We start from the raw sequence: 20,967 nt of genomic DNA on the forward strand, positions 1-20,967 counted from the left end.
ACCTGAGGAAGATCAATGTGGAAAGTGTTATGCAGGATAGACTGGAGAAGGCAGAGAATATAGGTTTGGAAAATACATAGCAGATTATTTAAGCTGATGGCCTTGCCTCAGATTTGACTGAGAAAACAGAAGTGATCATATCCGATCCACTTGATCTTCTCACCAACAAACATACACAACTACCTATATTTGTACCCAAGTTCTCATTTGCCTGTTAAAATGTAGGATGTGTTTTTCCTGTTACCAAAGACCACTCTCTATGCCGGCCCCTCCTGTTTTGCAAGAGCTTTGCAACTTTCCTTATACTTTCTCTCTTCTGTGCTCTCTCTCCAGGACTACTGGCTCATTCATTACCATATAAATGTGCTCCAATATTTTCTATTGAGCCCACATCCCCCTCTAGCTGCCAGACCATTTCTCTGCTCCACTTTATCAGCAAATAGACAAAGGAATTATCTGCTCATCTTATCTCCTCTTCAATCCCTCATTCCCCATTCATAACTCAACTCTTAACACTCTGGCTTCTTCCCTGATCTTCCCCTAGAACTGCTCTTGTCGAGGTCACCAGTAAACTCCATTATACCAAATCCATTGGATACTTCTTTGAGCTATTTTCCCTTGATCTTTGAGCGGTACTTTGCATTCACGACACTACGCTGCCCTAATTTCCCACCTCCTGCCTTACTGGCTGAAAAAGCTGAGGAAGGCTTCTTTGCTGGCTCTTCCTTCTCTACCCCTCAAATGTTAGATGTTCTTAGGGATACATTCTGGGCCCTCTTCTCTTCTGACTCTACCCTCTAGCAGGTGATTTCACCAACATCCATGGATTTTATTATTATTTTAAATAGAGAGAGGGGGTCTTGCTGTGTTGCCCAGGCTGGTCTCAAACTCCTAGCTTCAAGCAATCCTCCTACCTCAGCCTCTCAAAATACTGGGATTATAGGCATAAGTTACCATGCCCATCTCTTTTAAATACCATCTCTATGTTGATGGCTTCCAAATTTATATTTCTAGTCCAGGGCTCTCTTCTAAACTTTAGGCTTGTGTTTCAACAATCAGCTTGATATTTCTACTTGGATGCCTCACAGATCTCAAATTTCTTCCTCAAACGTGTTCTTAGTTTGAGGCTTAGTTCTTAAATTTCTTCCTCAAATGTGTCAAGCTTCCTCTTGCTTAGGAATCATCCTTGATTCCTCACTTTAATTCACACGTATGTGTGGTGCATTAATAAGTTTAGCAAGTCCGGTTGGTTTTTATGTCTATAATGTATTTCACATCTTCCCTCTTTTCTTTTTCTTTTCTCCATCTCCACTGCAAACACCTTGGTCCATACACTATCATCTCCTGCAAAGGGCTCACAAGTATTCTTCCTATTTCTAGTCTGGCCTCTGTATAATCTATATGGAGGTAGAAGTGATCATAATCATCTCAAAGTAGAAATAGGATTGGAACACATCAGTCTACTGCTTAAAATCTTTTAATGACTTTCTATCTCACTTAAGAAAAACATTCATATCACGTAGGTCTCTCACGGCCTATAAAACCGTAAATAATTTTTCACCATCTCTTTCTCCAATACTGCTTTATCTTACCCTTTCCCTCACTTTCTAGCCCCACTGGTTGTCCTTTTCTTCTTAACTGCCTCCAAACCTTTGTCTATATTATTTTCTTTGCCTGAAATACATCTAGTCTCCCTGTGTAGCCATCTCTTTCTTATCCTTTAGCTTAAATGACAACTCCTTAGTAAGATATATCCTGATCCACTTTCCTCCATTATAAAGATTGAAGTCTGTGAATGATTTAGAAAAAGTTAAAGTATATGTTAGATACAACTTCCAAAATGTTTTCTTAAGAGAGTGTTAGCAGTCACAAAAAGACAAGAGATGGCATTTCCTTTTGATCTAGCTACAAAATCATGCATATTTTCACATTCAAATCTCTGGGACTGAGAAACAATTTTCCCTAAACCATAAATGTATTTTTTCCTTGTACACACTACATACTGCTTGCCAGAATCTACTACTTTTTCCATGTCCAGGGCTGAAGAGTACCATTAGACATTGATCTTATTTCAAAAGAAAACATACAAAAGTTGTGGGTCAGGTGCAAGAAATCAGCTCATTATCAAGGTCCTAGTTATATATAATATCCCATTCCCATGGCCCACAATTCTTACCTGAGTTCCCAATCCTTTATTACCTCAACCCTTTGCCTAGCTTCCTGATCTCAAAGATACACAAATTATCTGTTCCTAGTCCCTGATTCTTAGTCCCTGATGACAGGTTTATCTTCTTAATTTCAAATTTACTGCTTACTTTCTGATCTCCTGGTCCTGGTTTCTTGTCCTACCCCTATCAAATAGAGAAATATGTTGGCTATTACAAATAAAACTGCTATGAACCTTCAAAAAAAGAAATATGTTTTGAAACTTACAGTAATTTTCAGAAAAGAAATGTCTCCTTCAAAAATTATTTGCCATTGGCCGGGCGTGGTGGCTCATGCCTGTAATCCCAGCACTTTGGGAGGCCGAGGTGGGCAGATCACAAGGTCAGGAGATCGAGACCATCCTGGCTAACACGGTGAAACCGCATGTCTACAAAAAAAATACAAAAAATTAGCCGGGCATGGTGGCGGGCACCTGTAGTCCCAGCTACTCAGGAGACTGAGGCAGGAGAATGGCTTGAACCCAGGAGGCAGAGCTTGCAGTGAGCCCAGATTGCGCCACTGCACTCCAGCTTGGGCGACAAAGCGAGAATCCGTCTCAAAAAAAAAAATTATTTGCCATTTACTTTAAAAAATATATGTGTCATTGGAACAATAATTTTAAAACACAGGAGAATCCCTAAATTTAATTAAGAGAGAATATTCCCTCTCTAGATGTCCTGCAGTAACATACAGACACTCCTAAGATACACAAATATCTCTAAAGAAAATTACTTAGAATAGGTATAGAATAGTGAAAGAGCTGGGATTACAAATTAAAACATGAAATCTGTATCTAATAGGTAGTGACGCAAAGGTATTAATATTAATCATAACAACATTTACTGAGGTGTTTCTAGAGGTGCTGGGCTCAATGCTAATTATTTTATATGCCTGATCTCACTGAATCCTCACAATCACTTTCTGAAGTCAGTATTATTAAATAAATTTCAAAGACAAGGAAACTGAGGCTTAGAGAGGTTAAGTAACTTTCCCAAAGTCAGCCACACAGCTAGTAAATGTCAAAACTGGCTTTTGACCCCAGTTTAACTCCATAGTCCATGCTCTTAACCGCTATGTTATACTGCCTAAATACAGAATTTCACATAGATCCAGAAGACCTGTATTCAAATTCTGACCACTTCGTTTATAAGCTGAGTGACCTTGGGCAAGTCACTTGATCTCTTCAAGCCTTGCTTTTCTCATCTCTAAAATGAAGACTATAACTCCCTCCTAAGTTCATCAAGTGGTTTCAGGGTTTAAAGGGGATAAAGTTAAGGAATGTACTATAACTGTTATCCACTGCTCTATAAAGATATGCTGCTGTGGTTACATGGCAGTCTTAGGAGCACTGATGGTGCTTTCTACTTGTAAGGATATTCCCGGATTTGAGTTCAAATGAGTGATGTTAGGCTCTAACCAGGGAGAGAACAATTTAAATAACTGGAGAAAACATCTTAAGATAAACATAAAAACTACAGGAATAAAAGGCACATTTATCCTGAGAGCAGACAGAGTAGCAAATGTTACCTGGTTCCTCTGGCTGCATGAGGTCCTGTTCAGATAAGACACTCTCTTGGAGGTTTCTCTCAGAACATCGTGGAAAGACTGAATTGGGGAGAAAACAAGCAGAAAGGCCAAGAGTCCCTTCTATTGGAGGTAGTGTTCTCCTCATTGAAAAAGAATCTGGAGACCTCTCCTTTAAAATAAGCAGGTTAAACAAACTATTTCATGATGTTATATATTTAATATTGATATAAACTTTCCTAAAAGTTGCTAAAATATTTAAGAGAAAGTTCAAAGTATGCCAACACTCCACAACATTTACTTCTTAATAATCCCCAAAGGCTCAAAAACATTTTGCTCTGTTGTCTCTGTATCTTAGTTGCTCTAAATTTCAATTTGGAAGCTTTATTTTTCACATGACCAGGGAAAAGTGTGTGTGCATTTTCTCTACACTCCCTAAGAAACAAAAAATTACTTAGGAGATGTAAATTAACAACAACTACAAAACACTGATGGGGTATTTCTCAACTTTTCCATATATGCTTTTTCATAATAAAACACCAGATTTAACCTTTTTACTTCAAAAGAAATATGCTGGCTATTACAAATAAAACTGCTATGAACCTTCAAAAAAACATGTTTTGAAACTTATAGTAATTTTCAAAAAAGGAATGTTACCTTCAAAAATTATTTGCCATTTACTTTAAAAAACAGGTATGTCATTGGGGCCGGGCTTGGTGGCTCATGCCTGTAATCCCAGCAGGTTGGGAGGCCGAGGCTGGTGGATCACTTGAGGTCAGGAGTTCGAGACCAGCCTGGCCAGCATGGTGAAACCCCGTCTCTCCTAAAAATACAAAAAAATTAGCCGGGCATGGTGGTGCACGCCTGTAGTCCCAGCTACTTGGGAGGCTGAGGCAGGAGAATGGCTTGAACCCAGGAGGTGGAGGTTGCAGTGAGCCAAGATTGCGCCACTGCACCCCAGCCTGGGCAACAGAGTGAGACTCTGTCTCAAAAAAAAAAAAAACACATATATATATATGTCATTGGAACAATAATTTTAAAACACAGAAGGAAAATCTCTAAATTTAATTGAGAGAATATTTCCTCTCTCTAATTGAAGTCCTTATTCCTTTGTTTTCCCATTTCATTGTTTATAGTATATAAGCTCCCACTGCTCATGAGGCTTAACTGAAAGACAAAAGAATGTAGCATTATATAAGATAATTAAGTTCTACAGATTTCTGAACAACATAACATTGTGCCTATAGTCAACAATACCGTATTGCACACTTAAAAATCTGTTAAGGGGGTATATTTGTTGTATTTTTACTACCATAATAAAAAAAAGCATATAACAAAGTGAAAGTCAGTCCACATGCAGTTGAAAAAACAATTCAGCATTCAATGTGAGGTGATAAAATAGGACTATAAAAGGATGCTTTTATAGCACCATTGTCTATATGCAAAAGTTTTCTATAATTTAAATTTTCTAATTTGTGTCTTTAAAAAAAGCATTAAGCTTTTCTGAATTTTTCTGAATTAACTCTAAAAGTTTGTTAGCACTCAACTCTAATAATTTTATGTAGCAAATTTATCTGAGAAGACCCTTTGATTTAAAAAGAAAACAGATTTTTTTCTTCTAGTTTTCTTTGCAGTGCTAGATAATACTATTATACAGAATAGGCCACAATTGTACCCTCTCTCTTCGCCGCATACGTGCTGATAGAGTCCTCTGCAGTACATTTCCTGAGGTTAAACTGCTATACGGCAGAAAAGTCGCCACAGATAAGCAAGTATCATTTATTTCATCGAATTCAATTTCTTTTGCCACACCACGATGAGGAGCAGCAAAAACTACCATGTGACATCCACCACAAGCAACCTGCAGCATAAATCCACAGAAAAACTCATCAACATTGGCTTCAAACACAAATGAGTTTTTAACAGTTATCAGCTGTAAGACATTTATTTAGTGGTAGGCTTCCTAGACAGACTGGCTTGGTGAATCTCTCTGTCTATACGTATGTGTGTGCACAATGAGAATGTGTACACAATATGTATACAATAGGTACACAATTACCATACATATTCTTTAAACATTGTGATTGAAAATTAGAACAAGTTTAATCCACCATTTTACTTTCAATTTAAAATAATATAGAGAAAAAAATACTTGGCAAATTACATTTCTCCTTACAGTTAGAAAATGTTGTATTTTAATCTGGGAAGAACATTAAAAATGTGAAAAATTACTCAGAGAAGTTCTACTAGAAGATTTTTTTTAAAGTATAAATCAGTCTCTTGAGCTAATTATGTCTCTAAGCCTTCTTTATATGAACATTTTCTAAGTTTAATGCTTAAAAGTCCTTAGAGGAAAATAAATGCAAGTATGCGTGATTACTTGGGTGATGACAGAACAATAAAAAATGAAATCAGCATTCAAAGAATTTTGAGAAATAAATCATTTTCAAGAAAATGCTAAAAAAAAAACCCATAGTGCAGTATTTTCCGTACATAGGTTCTAGATACTTTATAATGTTCTATTTTTCCTTCATAATACTTTAAAATTTTAAATTTATATATATTTTTGTATATCCCTTTTAAAAATTATAAGACTGTAATGAATAAGTCCTCAATGAATGAGGTCCTGGTTATTTCGTTCATCACTGTATACAATACTTTGTATTTCTTTTTTTTCTTTTTTTTTGAGATGGAGTTTTACTCTTCTCGCCCAGGCTGGAGTGCAATGGCACAATCTCGGCTCACTGCAACCTCTGCCTCCCGGATTCAAGCAATTATTTTGCCTCAGGATCCCAAGAAGCTGGGATTACAGGCACCTGCCACCACGCCCAGCTAATTTTTGTATTTTTAGTAGAGATGGGGTTTCACCATGTTAGCCAGGCTGGTCTTGAACTCCTGACCTCAGTTGATCTGCACGCCTCGGCCTCCCAAAGTGCTAGGATTACAGGCGTGAGCCACCGCGCCCGACCAGTACTTTGTATTTCTTATACTTAGCACACTATCTTACCCATAGTAGGCTTTCATTAAATGACTGTCAAATCAATAAATCAAAGTGTTCCATATTATGAGACACTGAGTCTCTGGAGGACAAATTTCAGTATTATCATCAAGTAAATAGAATTTTCAAAAGTCTAAACTTAACTGGCAAAAATATTAAGAAACAATACAGGTATGATGCGTGATGGTGACGTGACACTGAAATAATACATCCTTAACCTAAGAAAATTTAGCCAAAAAACCGTATCTTCAAAACTCTTTATTTTTTATTTTTTTTGAGACAGAGTCTCACTGTCACCTGGGCTGGAGTGCAGTGACACGACCTCAGCTCACTGCAACCTCCACCTTCTGGGTTCAAGCAATTCTCGTGCCTCAGCCTCCCAAGTAGTTGGGATTACAGGCGTGTGCCATCATACCTGGCTAATTTTTGTATTTTCATTAGTGACAGGGTTTCACCATGTTGGCCAGGCTGTTCTTAAACTCCCGATCTCAGGTGATCCGCCCGCCTTGGCCTCCCAAAGTGCTGGGATTACAGGAGTGAGCCACCGTGCCCTGCCAAAACGCTTTGTTTATTATCAGACTTTCTGTTGTGCAGGATTTGAGAGTCTAACATTTAATTCAGCAAATATTTATTAAAGACTATTGTGAGCAAGGTACTCTGCTGGGTGCTACACAAGATACAAAGCCTGCGGGCATGGCACAGTCCCAGCTTTCAACAGATATATGAGAATGAAGCAGAAGAGACAAGATTTCAGCAAAAAGGAAGAGGCTAAAGGAGGAAAATTAGGAGCAACACATTTTCTGAATGGCATAATGTCTGACATTTGGCTTTTAGGAAACAAGTATATTTATTAGATATATATATGATACTCTTCCATACAAACATAAAATTACTTATTTTCTATGAAATACTGAAAGACTCAAATACAGTAATATGAAAATATAAACAGGGAAATGTGATGCCCTTACCAATTTAACTATAAACCTCAAAAAATTAGAGCACAAAGTAGGAATGAAGTGATTGGTAAAATTCTCCAGTCCAAGTCCTAATTTTCCGTGGCGACCATCTCCAAAAGTATACATAAGGCCGATATCTAAAATGCAAAAATAATGAAGAGAATTATAAAAGTGTTACTTGTATGGATCTATTTGTAAACAGATAAACATGTTAACTCATACTGCAATTATAATTATCCCCCTCAAATTCTGCCTTGAATTTACTCTATTGATCTTTCCACACTCTCTATGGTCTCTGTGGTCCTGCATGTAACATCAGGCAATAAATATTCTGAGAATAAATCAATTAACCTTGGTGGTTTGTGAAGTTGATGACCTGTCACGCAAGGCAGTGTGTGGAGCAGCAGCAATACAGAATGAGAATTTGAGATACACATCATATATTCCAAGGGAAGGAGAAGGAGATGCTTGTATTCTGACCCCTACATCCCAACACAGTCTATTTTCCTTTTCCCTGAGGTCACTGATAGATCAGAGTTTCTCAACCTTGGCATTATTGACATTTGGGGCCAGATAATTCATGGTCGTGTGGGTCTGTCCTGTGCACTGTAGGATGTTCAGCAGCATCCTTGGCCTCCACCCACTAAATGCCAGTAGGACAACTCCATTCTGCAGTCATGACCATTAAAAAATGTCTCCAAACGTTGTCATGTGACTTGGGGAGTGGGGGATGCACAAAATCTCTACTACTGGCTTAGCTTAACTAATCTGGCTCCTGGGCTGTGGAATACTGTTGAAGTAAATGCCATAAGCCAAAAATGCTAACTAATTCCTATACCAAAACCTGGGTCCCCTCTGAAACTGGGCCCACAATGATGATGAGTAATCTTGTCACTTCTCGCCAGTTAGTCCTTTTGCTTACTGCCATAGCAGCTATTACGAACCTTCACACTCCTTTCTTCAAGCCGCTCCATCTCAACTGGGGTAAGTGCCAGGGAAGCAGAAGTAAGGGGTGTTAATATGGTTCAAAGGAGGGGAATTTTCCTCTAGTCTGGGGATTAGGGAAGGCTTTCAAAGGGAAACCTAAAGGATGAGTAGGGCTTAGCTGCATGAAGAAGGGAGCAAAGAATCTTCCAGGCAGAGTCAGCAGTACATAGAAAGCCTCTGAATCAAGAGCAAACGTGGCTCGGGCAAGAAGCTGAAAGGCAACTAATACCCCTGAAGCACTAAGGGGAGAGTGGTAGGAGATGAGTCTGAAGAGGTGAAAAGGGACTACACAGAGTGTCCTATTAGTTCAGATGAAGGATTTTTGAAGTTTTATCTTAAGGACATTTAGAAGGAAAATGAATGGTTTTAAGCTGGGAAACAACTGGGTCACCTTTGGGGACTTCTGGTTTAAGACGGCAAAGTGACTGCATACTAAGCAAATCCAAGAGAACTGAAAAATCATCAGAAAGAATAATATAATTCAGTAAGGTGGCAAGTATAAAAATCGATTTACAAAAATAAGTAGATTCCCTGTAAATATGTAAGTAAGTGCTATTCAGTGTTTGGACTCTTTAGACTACCTTTTTTTTTTTTTCTTTTTTTTTTTGAGATGGGGTCTCGCTCTGTCACCCAGGCTGGAGTGCAGTGGTGCGATCTCAGCTCACTGCAACCTCTGCCTCCCGGGTTCAAGTGATTCTCCTGCCTCAGCCTCCTCAATAGCTGATATTACAGGCACGCGCTGCCATGCTGGCTAATTTTTGAATATAGTAGAGATGGGGTTTCACCATGTTGACCAAGCTGTAGACTCTTACAATTCTTACTATTAAGTATTTATGTCCTTCTTTTATATCTGCTCCTTATCACCTTTATCCCTTCTTCCTCCTTCTTTTCAACCTGATTTCTTTACCCAAATGTTTTTTAAGGTTTGCCTTTTAAATTTGATTGTCTTTTGCCTGAAAATATAAACCCTGATCCAAGCTGCCTGATGGCACTTTCAACCTCAGAGAGCTTTTAAAAATATGAGCCACTGGCTATAATGGGGAACTGGCAAGAGCTTGCAGATAACCCACTACATACTTCTCATTAGTCCTGGAGGAAAAAAAAAAAAAATTCCACACCACTTGCCCTCCAGGGACGATTGATGAACAAAAAGGCAAACAAAGTTAATGTTCAATTATTTGTGCTATAACTCTTTTTATCAGGAGTAAAGGTACTATGAAAATTTAACTAAATATTCGAATTGTATGTTAGATGACAGATTAAAAATAGTATGTATCTACTATTAGTGGAAGATTAGAGTTGATGAAAAATGACAGTAAGGACAGATAAAGTGACATTAGGACCCTATAGTTAAGGGATACACAACAACTCTTAGTGGATGATGAATGAATAATACTTTTCATATTCTATATAATGCTATTTCATGATACATTCTCAAGAACACTGATACTTGATCATGGGCAGGTCATCTTCTCTGAAAGCTTCTTTGGGGAAGAAGAAACAGTATATCTTGCATTTGCTGATTCCTAGTTTCCCTAGCCAGATACCATTAGATGAGCAGTAGTTTTTTCAGGAGCTTTTTCATAGCAGTAGCTTTTTCAAAAAGAAGGAAAAAAAGTAGAAATACTAGTACATGGATTACGTCAATACACTAGATGATTTCTGACTTTCCAATGCTTCACTTCATATTTAGACAGAAATAGTGAAATTATATACCCGTTTGTCACAAAGCATTGAAAACTGTGGACTATATCAATTACCTACATATATGTGACTGAATCATTTAGGGGAGAATCTTTACTGAGTCCTATATTATTAGCAGCACATAGTTTTGAGGCTGAGAAGTGGGCTCAAAGGAACATTTCCCTGCATGAAGGAGATACCACAGAGTGGAAGAAGGTATCCACTTAGTGGTCTCTGAGGGTCCCTTCTCTCTAACACGTAGAAAGAGAAGGAAAGGAGTCATTCCTGAAAACGCCTCCAGGTGGCAAAAACATAACAACTGACTCGGCCTGAATGCAGCTCTGTCAGACTGAATAGGAAGAATGTTTTAAAATAAGTTTTTGCTTGTGGGATTTTTCCTTTTGGCCTGAGTAGAATTAAGAGCCTTCAAAATGATATAATTTCAAAAAGATTCCTGTTTTCTGACAAAGAATAATACTATGGTCTAACTTCTGACATCATCGGCCTATTGTGAGGTTCTAAATCTTTGGATCATTTACATTTATTCTAAATTGAATTAAAATAATAAAAAGTTCACAACTTTATACTTTGGAATAGTAAACATGGAATTCCATTTTTCTCAGCCATTAATTCCTTTACTTAAGTTAGATACATTCATTTCACATATAATTTATTTTGTAATAAAATATACCCAGTTCTATAAATATATAACAGAAATTCTAATCCATACCTGTTATCAAAGCTGTGTGATTTTCTCCACAAGAAATATAACTTATTGTTTGATCCCTAATATTCTCAATGACTTTGGGTTCTGAAGTTTCAAAAAGAAAAGTGCCAAGACCCAGCTGACCAAATTGTCCCAGCCCAAAGGTATACACAGCATTCTCTGAAAGGAAAGGGGCAAATACAAGACAAGGATTATGGAAGCAGACACTGTTACCATCATATCTGGAAAAACTGTCACGTTCAACCTTTTATAGTGAAGGTTAAGTGCCTCTGGGGAAAAAAAAACATTTAAGAATACTTAATATTGAAGTATAAATCTTTCAATGATGAAGGAAGAGAAAAATGAAAAGGTACATCATTATAAAAATTATGACATGGGTATGATTTTATCTTTTATACATAACCATAGTTAGGTAAGTAACAGGTATGATACAAGGCACATAAGTCAGGGAACTACCTGAAATGTCCCCATAATTACGTCGGCTCAAAAAGTACCAACTGTTGGCCGGTCGCAACGGCTCACACCTGTAATCCCAGCACTTTGGGAGGACGAGGCGGGTGGACTGCTTGAGGCCAGGTTTGAGACTGGCCTGGCCAACATGGTGAAACCCCATCTCTACTAAAATTACAAAAATTAGTTGAGCATGATGGCATGCATCTGTAATTCCAGCTACATAGGGAGGCTGAGGCACAAGAATCGCTTGAACCCAGGTGGCAGAGGTTGCAGTGGGCCAAGATTGCACCACTGCACTCCAGCCTGGGTGACAGAGCGACACTCCATCTCAAAAAATAAAAAAGAACCAACTGTCATTAAGCTAACTCACTACGTCAAATAAAAAAGTGAATAGTGTCTCCTACAGAAAAACTTCTTCCTTTTAAAAGCAGTTTATGCATCACCTAAGGTCAGGAGTTGGAGAAGAGTCTGGCCAACGTGGTGAAACCCTGTCTCTACTAAAAATACAAAAATTAGCCAGGCATGGTGGCGTACACCTGTAATCCCAGCTACTAGGGAGGCTGAGGCAGGAGAATCGCTTGAACCCAGGAGGTGGAGGTTGCAGTGAGCCAAGATCACGCCACTGCACTCCAGCCTGGGCAACAGAGCAAGACTCCATCTCAAAAATAAAATAAAATAAAATAAAATAAAATAAAATAAAATAAAATAAAATAAAAGTAGTTTAATAATCTATCTTATAAAACCCAATTTCAGAGAATTGTCTTGAGAATTAAAACTGATAGGGCATATGCTAGATTTATTCACAAGTAAAGCTTCTTCACTAGGAAATGCAACTATAATAGGAGGGGAAAAGCTTTTCTTTATATTGATATTTTGAAGTGATTCCAAAGGACTTCCAGTAACTCAGTAAATACTACGTCATATGTTTTCTAGAAATGAAAAAGTACAAAAACAGGATACATGAGTGGTGATGAAAGGGTCCTTTTAGAGACATCATGCTCCTGGCTGCTGCATTAGGAAGCGCAGTGTCGATTATATTAGTCACTTCTCCTTAGTACACTGAGTTTTGTACTTTGAGTTTAGTACATTGAGTTTCTCCTATTACAGCAGGAAGGGCAAGAGCTTGTTATTCAGGCCAGAACCCAAACATTCATTATTACTAGCTGTGGCAAGCAGGTGAGTTACTTAGATTCTCTGATGTTATAATCCCTATCTAACAGAGGTGCTGACAGGATTAAAAGAGAAAACATTCAGGCAGATTTGAAAACATAATATGACATACTGTTGTAAAGAACATTTTTCTAAAAAGTATCTAATCAACTCATTCTATCAATGGGGGTTACAAATGAAAACATAACTGTCTATTGTCATGTGGTTTTACAATTTTTTCTAATAAAAATGTTTGCTTCATAAATAAGACATATAGATACTACTCCTTTAAGAAAATATGCTGTATCAAAGATATGAAGCCATATTGAGGCAATGGCAAAACAGATCTTTATTTTAATATTAAAAAACCATCTTAGTTTAAATAATAATCACATGGCATATTTCCAGTTCTAAATGTTCAGCTTAACAGTAGAATATTGGGTAAATTAAAGCAATTATCTATCTCTAGCTGACCAACAATTACTCTACATTTCTTAGGCTGTCTGATTTTAATTAGCCTGTGAAATGAGGCTGTTTAGGCAGTCTGAATCATGTTACAGAAGTTTTGTTCAGTATCCTGGTAGGTTCCCATTCAGGTGCTTGGATATTAGTGATGACAGCAGTTTCTATTTTATAAAAATGATTGAAGGCGCTCTTATTTAAGGACATTATATTTAACAACCAATAGAATTTTTGGCCATATCACCTTTGTGACATTTAACAACATAATTTAATGTTAATAAATAATATTACATTAGGAAAATAGATTTGATCAGTTAGCTTCAGATTAATATTACTGTAATTTCACAGAATATATTTGATTTCAGAACTAATAATTTGTTAACCTGTAGAAAACTTAGGTTTATCCAAACATAATCTGAGAAGTTAAGATAAATTCTCATTTGCCTCAGGACCCAGACTTCATTGTGAACCCCATCTCACAACTGGCCTTTCTTGTGTGTTGGTAACTGCTGTGGACGATTTACAAAACTACAAATATCACTCTGCCTCACTTAGTGTGTCCCAAGTTCCAGCCTCAGACTTTTTCCACAGTGGTCCATGGTTTCCCTGATCCCAAGGAGAAACTATAATCACCCTATCACTACAACCAGTTTTATTTTCTAATCTATCACGGTCATGTGCAAATATTATGTTTTAAATAAATTCATCAGAAATGAACTAAATTGTTTTTAAAATAGTTTAATGAATGATCCTCTAATAGATTTTTAAGATAAGAGTTATAGACTTTTGAAAAACAAGGCTGGGAAGGTCCTTCACAGAAACACCTAATCCAAGTGCTTTTCTTTAGTGAAAGAAATTGGAACAGGTGATTAGCTATTCTTTCCTTAAGGTCTTACAAAATATTCCATAACTCTCTTAGCAATCCAGTTTAGTATTTAGTCACACTGATGATCAATATACTCTTCAGGTCCATTTCTTCATCAGCTAGGACTAAATATTTTTAAAATTCTGCCTATACTGTGCTCCAGAACCAGGTTCCTCACCAGGGCTGGCTCATAATAAAGCTCTCACAGGTCCATGGAGAAATGTGAAAAACAGGCAAAGTAGTGAAATTTTCATACATATACATTTATACAGTTTAAGGAGGTGCCCTTTATTATATACAATTAAGAGTTTTTTATTTTGAAAATGTTCCTTATTTTATGATATGATAGTGCAGTCATGTTTTTCAATGCCCATATTTAAGCAAACGTGAATCAGAAGCTGACAACCATCTATTGGTTCTCATAATTTTTTAAACTCAAATTTTAGATTATTCTCTGGATTGTAACACAAGCTCTTCACTGTTTACAAAGTTATTTATGAACTGTAAAAATTATCTCTCCATGTTTTTTTCCCTGTATTACCAAGTTTTTCTCCTGTATTCCCCCATTCAATGTTGGCTGCCACAATCAGAAAGGAAATGCAAGGACACTTCTTTCTTGCATCTGTAGTAGAAATCTTAGTGGCAAAAAATAACTGTTCCAGGTCTGTCAAATAGATGCATCTCATAATTTAAAAAACTTTACTGGTGTGTGAGATCCGTAAGCTTGCAAAAATCTGGAGAGAGCAATCAATTTCTGGAAACATTATACTTAAGCTCAGAACAAAGTCCACAGAAAGTTAAATGTCTTTAAAACCACACGAAAATATCATCCTTAAGTGCATTTATTTTAAATTAAGAATTTAAAATTAAGAATTGAGCTTTCATTAAAAGTATCATAGATTATCTTGTTGCTCTTTATAGAAAAATGTTTTATAATGAATGGTTAAAGACACTATTATACAATCAACATTTGTATCTGTTAAAATAACCCTGAATGACCTATTAAATTAATTCTTTCTATAGTCTTTGTATAAACTAGAGAAAATATATAACACATAAAGTTGCATTTCTGCCTATAGAATGAATTTTCAGATAATGTGTAAAAATTAATTTCAAAGTTTAATTTTTAGAATATTTTCGAAATTATATAAAATTCACTTTTTCAGCAGGAATTCAAAAACATCTTAAACCTCAGAATTATTTCCAAATTTAGAGTATAAGTTTTGAAAAAAAATTATTTCTAACTTAGAAAAGATTCCATCTAGAAACTAAAGCTTAATAACCACGACTGGGGCTAGAACAGGAAGCTGAGGAAAAGTAACATCAGAGAAAAAAACATAAAGATAAAATATTATTCACTTACCTGGCAACATTAGGCATATCATCTTAGAATTGGATATTATTCAAAATTTGTCTACAACATTTCTAACTTTGGGCTACTAAAGATTAAGTGGTGACTTCACAAACTGTTAATTTTTTTGTGCAAAAAATATAATAATAATTCACTACCTAATTGTATTATGTACATTACTCATCTAAAATAAATCTAATGTTGAAAAAATTTGGAAGCATCAATTTAGTAAACATATTAGCAAGTAGTGAGTATATTTCAATACAGTGATTAGAATCCTGAGAAATGACATGTCATAACAAATATGAAATTCAGATCCCAAAAGTAACATTAAGGTCCTAACTTTCTTTTATTATCTGTAATTTAAAACCATACCACTTTTTAATGAATTACTATAACAGAACATACAACTACAAAGAAATCCCCAAGCTACACATTGTAAATGTCACAAAGAAAAGAATTATCAATGACATATAGAAAATAGCTTGAACAAAAAGCTTCTCCAAAAGAAGGCATTTCAGGAAAAATGTCAATTTTAGATAAATATAGAAAACATATACATGAGAAAAATTGTTTGTCCCTGAAAATGAGCTAAAAATAATGTAATATGTTGCCATTAAAAATGTTAAGGTCAGGCCAGGTGTGGTGGCTCACGCCTGTAATCCCAGCACTTTGGGAGGCCGAGGCTGGTGAATCACCTGAGGTCAGGAGTTTGAGACCAGCCTTGCCAACATGGCGAAACCCCATCACTACTAAAAATACAAAAATTAGCTGGGCATGGTAGTGGGCACCTGTAATCCCAGCTACTCAGGAGGCTGAGGCAGGAGAATCGCTTGAACTCAGGAGGCAGAGGCTGCAGTGAGCCAAGATCAGGCCATTGCACTGCAGCCTACATGACAAGAGCGAAACTCCGTCTCAAAAAAAAACAGTTAAGGTCATGAAAATGTAAATTATGTTAGCAGAAACAATTCAACAAGATTCATTTTTTTTCTACTTAAAAAAAATATTCCATAGACCAGAAATGTATATTAAGTACAGGAATAAAGGGTGAGAATCTTTTTTTTGTTTGTTTTTCTTTTTGTTTTGAGACGAGGTCTTGCTCTGTTGCCCAGGCTTGAGTGCAGTGGGACAATCACAGCTCACCTCAAGCTCAACCTCCCCTGGCTCAGGTGATCCTCCCACCTCAGCCTCCTGAATACCTGAGACCACACCTGGCTAATATTAGTAAAGATGGGGTTTCGTCATGTTGCTCAGGCTGGTCTCGAACTCCTGGGCTCAAGAGATCTCCTGGCCTCCCAAAATGCTAGGATTACAGGTGTCAGCCATTGCACCAGGTCCAAAAAGTGAGAATCTTAATGGAAAGAGATGCAAAGGCCACCTGACACGAGGTATCTAAGAGTCAAACTCATAGAGGCTAATAATAAAATGGTGGTCGCCAGGAATTGAGGGGAGGCCGGAAAGACGAGTTGCCGTACAGTGGGCGTGAAGTTTCAGTTACTCAAGATAAGTTTCAGAGATCTGCTGTACAATGGTCGTGCCTATACATAAAAATACTTTATTATACTCTTAAAAATCTATTAAGAAGGTAGTTCTCATAGTATTCTTACCACAATAAAAAAATGAACATAAAAAAAATGAACATTAAAAAAATTTCATTAGCCACCACAGAACGCAGGGAACAGAACAGTGGACTCCACACATACCCGTGAGAACCACAGTATGCTCTCCACCACAGGCTACTTGGATCACCTTCTCCGGAATTTCAGACACCAGCTGGGGTGTTCTGTGATTGCCCAGGAGCTGATTGGGAAGACCTAACTTCCCATTCTCAGGTTCTCCAAACACATATAGCTCACCATCTGCTATTGAAGGAAAAGTATAGTGATTAGTGATGACATACATATGAACAAAAAGCTGGTCTTACCGTCAAAAAAAAGTTTTGACAAGGATCACTTAATACATTTGACCTTTCTTGAGATATTTTTACTGTATGATAAAGAAATAAAGCTAGATTTTCTTTTCCCCTTGATTATTTTAATCCAATCATTTTCATGAAAAATTCATGACTACCACTACTAATAAACAACTAGAAAATTACTTTAGTGCTTTCACAAAAGTGAAGAATATCTTGTGTCTTTTACTTACTTAAAGCTCCCATAAAAACATGAATTTTGTCTTGCTCCCTATGGTATCCCCAAAACCTAGCAGTGTCTAGAACAAGCACTTAATATTTGTGGAATAAATGAATGAATAATTGCTTTATATGAAACTGGTTTTAGAAAACTCACTTATGTGTGCAGTAAATATGTTAAGTAAATCTTAAGATAGCAGATTTTACCCATTTAGATGGCACTTCCTCCAAAGACTCTTACCAAGGAGTTCCTGACACTTAATCACTGCCCTGTCCATACTAACGCTATTAATTTGCTTCTTTATTACATTTATCACACTGTATTATGACTGTGAACTTCTTGAAAGCAAGAACTTTCTTATTCATTTCTATGCAATTAACTGAGTTCTATAAAGTAGAATTTAAAAACCTTGTGTAAGTATATGATCCAATCTGAAGAATGACATGGAACATATCACCATTGGTATAAGCAAAGAGACAACAGAGCAGATCTGCTTGCTTATTCTTTGCAAGTCTCTGAGAGAACCATGATTGATCCTTGCCCAACCCCTGAGAAGGTGGCCCCTGGAGTGTTCTTTATGTGAATGATTAATGATTTTGTTATATATACCAGAGCAATGAACTATGCCAGATTAGGTTTGTCAGGGCTGCTTGCACAAACATCAACATTGATGATGTGCACCTGGCTTCATTATTGAGGGTCCTGAGTTTCAGCTGCTGTGGCCAGTTGCTAGCAGGAGGTGCCTACATGACCAGCCCCCTAAATCCCCTAGAAGCAACAGAATGGGCTTCCCTGGGCAGAGACATTCCACACATGTCCCTGTAGTTCACTGCTAAGAAAACATGCCCTGTGTGGTTTCCTAAGAGAAAGTACTAGGAAGCCCAAGCTTGACTTCTCTGGACTCCACTGCAGATGCTTATCTTTTTCCCACTTTTTCTTTTTGCTTTGTATCCTTTGCTGTAATAAATCTTATTCGTAAGTATAATCGCTATTGAAGACTGTGAGTCCTTCTAGAAAATCACAGAACTTCAGGAAGGTGTGGGACAGCCAATGCACAAGATATGCACCACTTAGAACTTGCTCAAATACTGTAAACACAGCTATATTGATTTTCTGAATTGATCTGCACAGAAAATGAAGTTTTATGGACCACAGTTTTCTATGAAGTATTTAGCAAACACTGGCACAAAAGTGGTGCCCAGTAAGTTAGCACCCTTCCATTTTCCCATGCTTGTTGCCTCCCATAGGAAACTGGTTCCTAAGTCCTGATGAGTCTCTCTCCATTTCTGTCTATAGATTCCTGATTCCCTTTACACCTTAACATGAATTTTCACCTGGATCAAGTTTTCCAAATGTCTTTCCTACCTCTAGTCTAACATACCCACACAATATCAGATGCATCTTCCAAAAACAAGGCTCTAATTATGACACTTCCAAATAAAAAAAAAATACATGTATCAAGTACAAACTGCAGACTGTTACAAGAGACCTTCCATATTAGGTTCCCGGACTACTAACCAGTCATATTTCTATCTACTCCCCAACCTGGTGACTCTCTTTTGAGTCACATCCTCCCTTGGGAATTTGATGACAGCTCTATAAAAAAAGTACACATCCCAGCAGGGTGTGATGGCTCATGCCTGTAATCCCAGCAGTTTGGGAGGCCGAGGCTGGTGGATGGCTTGAGTCTAGGAGTTTGAAACCAGTCTGGGCAACATGGTGAAACCCAGTCTCTACAAAGAATACAAAAATTAGCCGAGTGTGGTGGCACGCATCTTTGTCCTAGCTACTCGGAGGAATGAGGTGGGAGGATCACTTGAGCCCAGAAGGTCTAGGCTACAGTGAGCCGTGATTATGCCACTGCACTCCAGCCTGGGCAACAGAGTGAGACCTAGCTCAAAAAAAAAAATGCACCTACCAAATTTAGCATATCATTTCAGGGGTTTACATTCCTTTAGGATCCATGATCCCTAACCTCTAAACAAACAACCTCTAAACAAACTCAACTATGCAATAATCTCCAAATACATGATTTACTTTTCTGTCTCTATATCTCTGCACATGTTTTTGTCTCTGCCTGGATTGTTCTTCCCTCATCTCTGTCTCTCTCAGAGTTGTTTCCATCTTTCATGGTTAATCTCAAATACCACCCTTTCTCTGAAATATGTCCTGACGCCCCTAACAAGAAATAATATTTTTTCTTTCTTGTTCTCACGTAAGACTCTGCTATCAAATGTCTTACGTTACCAATCATGGTCTGCTGTATATTGCAGTTATTGGTCTAGCACAGTAGCAAAAAGTATGTGCTACAGAGTCAGACTGCCTTGTTTGCATGTGGATTCTGCCACTTACTGAGTCATACTGAGCAAGTTGTTCAATCACTGGGCCTGTAACATGGGGATAAAAGTGCCTATGTGATAGGGTTGTTTCATAGGAATAACCGAATTAATGCATTCAAAGGCACATAGAACACATAATCAGTGCCTGGTCATTATTAGTTGCTACCACATCCTCCTCTTCCTCTTGTATATGGAGAGAAACTGCATGTCAGTAGAAATTGTTCAGGCTTTTAGAACTGGAAGACTGGAGTTCGAATTCTGATTCTGCAACTCAATCGCAGCATCACCTTGAATAAAACTGTGTTCTAAACCTGCCTGCATATATGGAATCTCAGATACCACCACCTCTCTCCCAGAGTGGTTGGGAGATTAAATGAAATATATTCGTACTTGAAAATGCTTTGTACATGGAAAAACTATACATCCTATAGTTTGACTGTAAACTTCAGAAGGGTAGGTACTACATTTTAATCAACTTGGTATTGTAAGAAATATCATTTAAAATGACTTTTACATAGTAAGTTGATGAAGTTTCTCACAGTGTCGACTTTTTAAAGTAAAATGTTTTACCTATAAAGCAGGGGTGTCCAATCTTTTGGCTTCCCTGGGCCACACTGGAAGAATTGTCTTTGGTCACACATAAAATACACTAATACTAACGATAGCTGATGAGCTAAAAAAAGAAAAGGTCTGTGCATAAATCTCATGTTTTAAGAAGGTTTACAATTTGTGATGGGCGGCATTCTAAGCCATCCTAGGCTGCGGGTTGGACGAGCTTGCTGTAAAGGGTTAGAAAAGATATTTCCTGTAGCTATCAGTAGGACCTTCCTTAAAGGGGAAGGTGAGTGCTTTTAATCCATATAAAATGTTTTATTTAATTCCAAGGTATTTTTCTTATTTATATATAAAAAATAAAATAACATTTATCACAAAGAATAAATAGGTCATTTCATATCAATTATATCTACTTCACTTAGGCCTATTAATTTTTATAAAATCTGGATTCCTCAAACTCTCTACCTGGCTCTGACAGCTACCTTCCCCAGGATTCTGATCTTAAGCACACTGCCAAGTCTCTATTCTCCAGTATCTGAAGATTGCTCCACAAATTCCTGCCCCCAGTTCCCATAACCCCA

The 20,967-nt window shown here is 37.2% G+C and overlaps 1 protein-coding gene across 19 annotated transcripts in view; it reads right to left on the minus strand.

Moving 5' to 3' along the window:
* The window catches only part of RPGR (retinitis pigmentosa GTPase regulator), a 58,347-nt gene that overhangs the window by 24,389 nt on the left and 12,991 nt on the right, over nucleotides 1-20,967 (minus strand). For 9 of the 19 annotated variants that reach the window (NR_159807.1, NR_159805.1, NR_159806.1 and 6 more), the window contains exons 7-11: nucleotides 17,064-17,222; nucleotides 11,084-11,239; nucleotides 7,696-7,820; nucleotides 5,405-5,590; nucleotides 3,733-3,901 (exon numbers count right to left, since the gene is read on the minus strand). Coding sequence is in view for 12 of the 19 variants with exons in the window: in NM_001367249.1 (NP_001354178.1) it covers nucleotides 3,733-3,901; nucleotides 5,405-5,590; nucleotides 7,696-7,820; nucleotides 11,084-11,239; nucleotides 17,064-17,222 (795 nt within the window). In the remaining 7 variants the exon portion in view is untranslated. Of the gene's footprint in view, nucleotides 1-2,433; nucleotides 2,594-3,732; nucleotides 3,927-5,404; nucleotides 5,591-7,695; nucleotides 7,821-9,061; nucleotides 9,122-11,083; nucleotides 11,240-17,063; nucleotides 17,223-20,967 lie in introns of those variants that run through there. The other 10 variants (NM_001367250.1, NM_001367245.1, XM_047442330.1 and 7 more) reach the window with 7 other exon arrangements.

The sequence above is a fragment of the Homo sapiens genome, chromosome X, assembly GCF_000001405.40.
Source record: "Homo sapiens chromosome X, GRCh38.p14 Primary Assembly".
NCBI classification, from domain to species: Eukaryota; Metazoa; Chordata; class Mammalia; order Primates; family Hominidae; genus Homo; species Homo sapiens.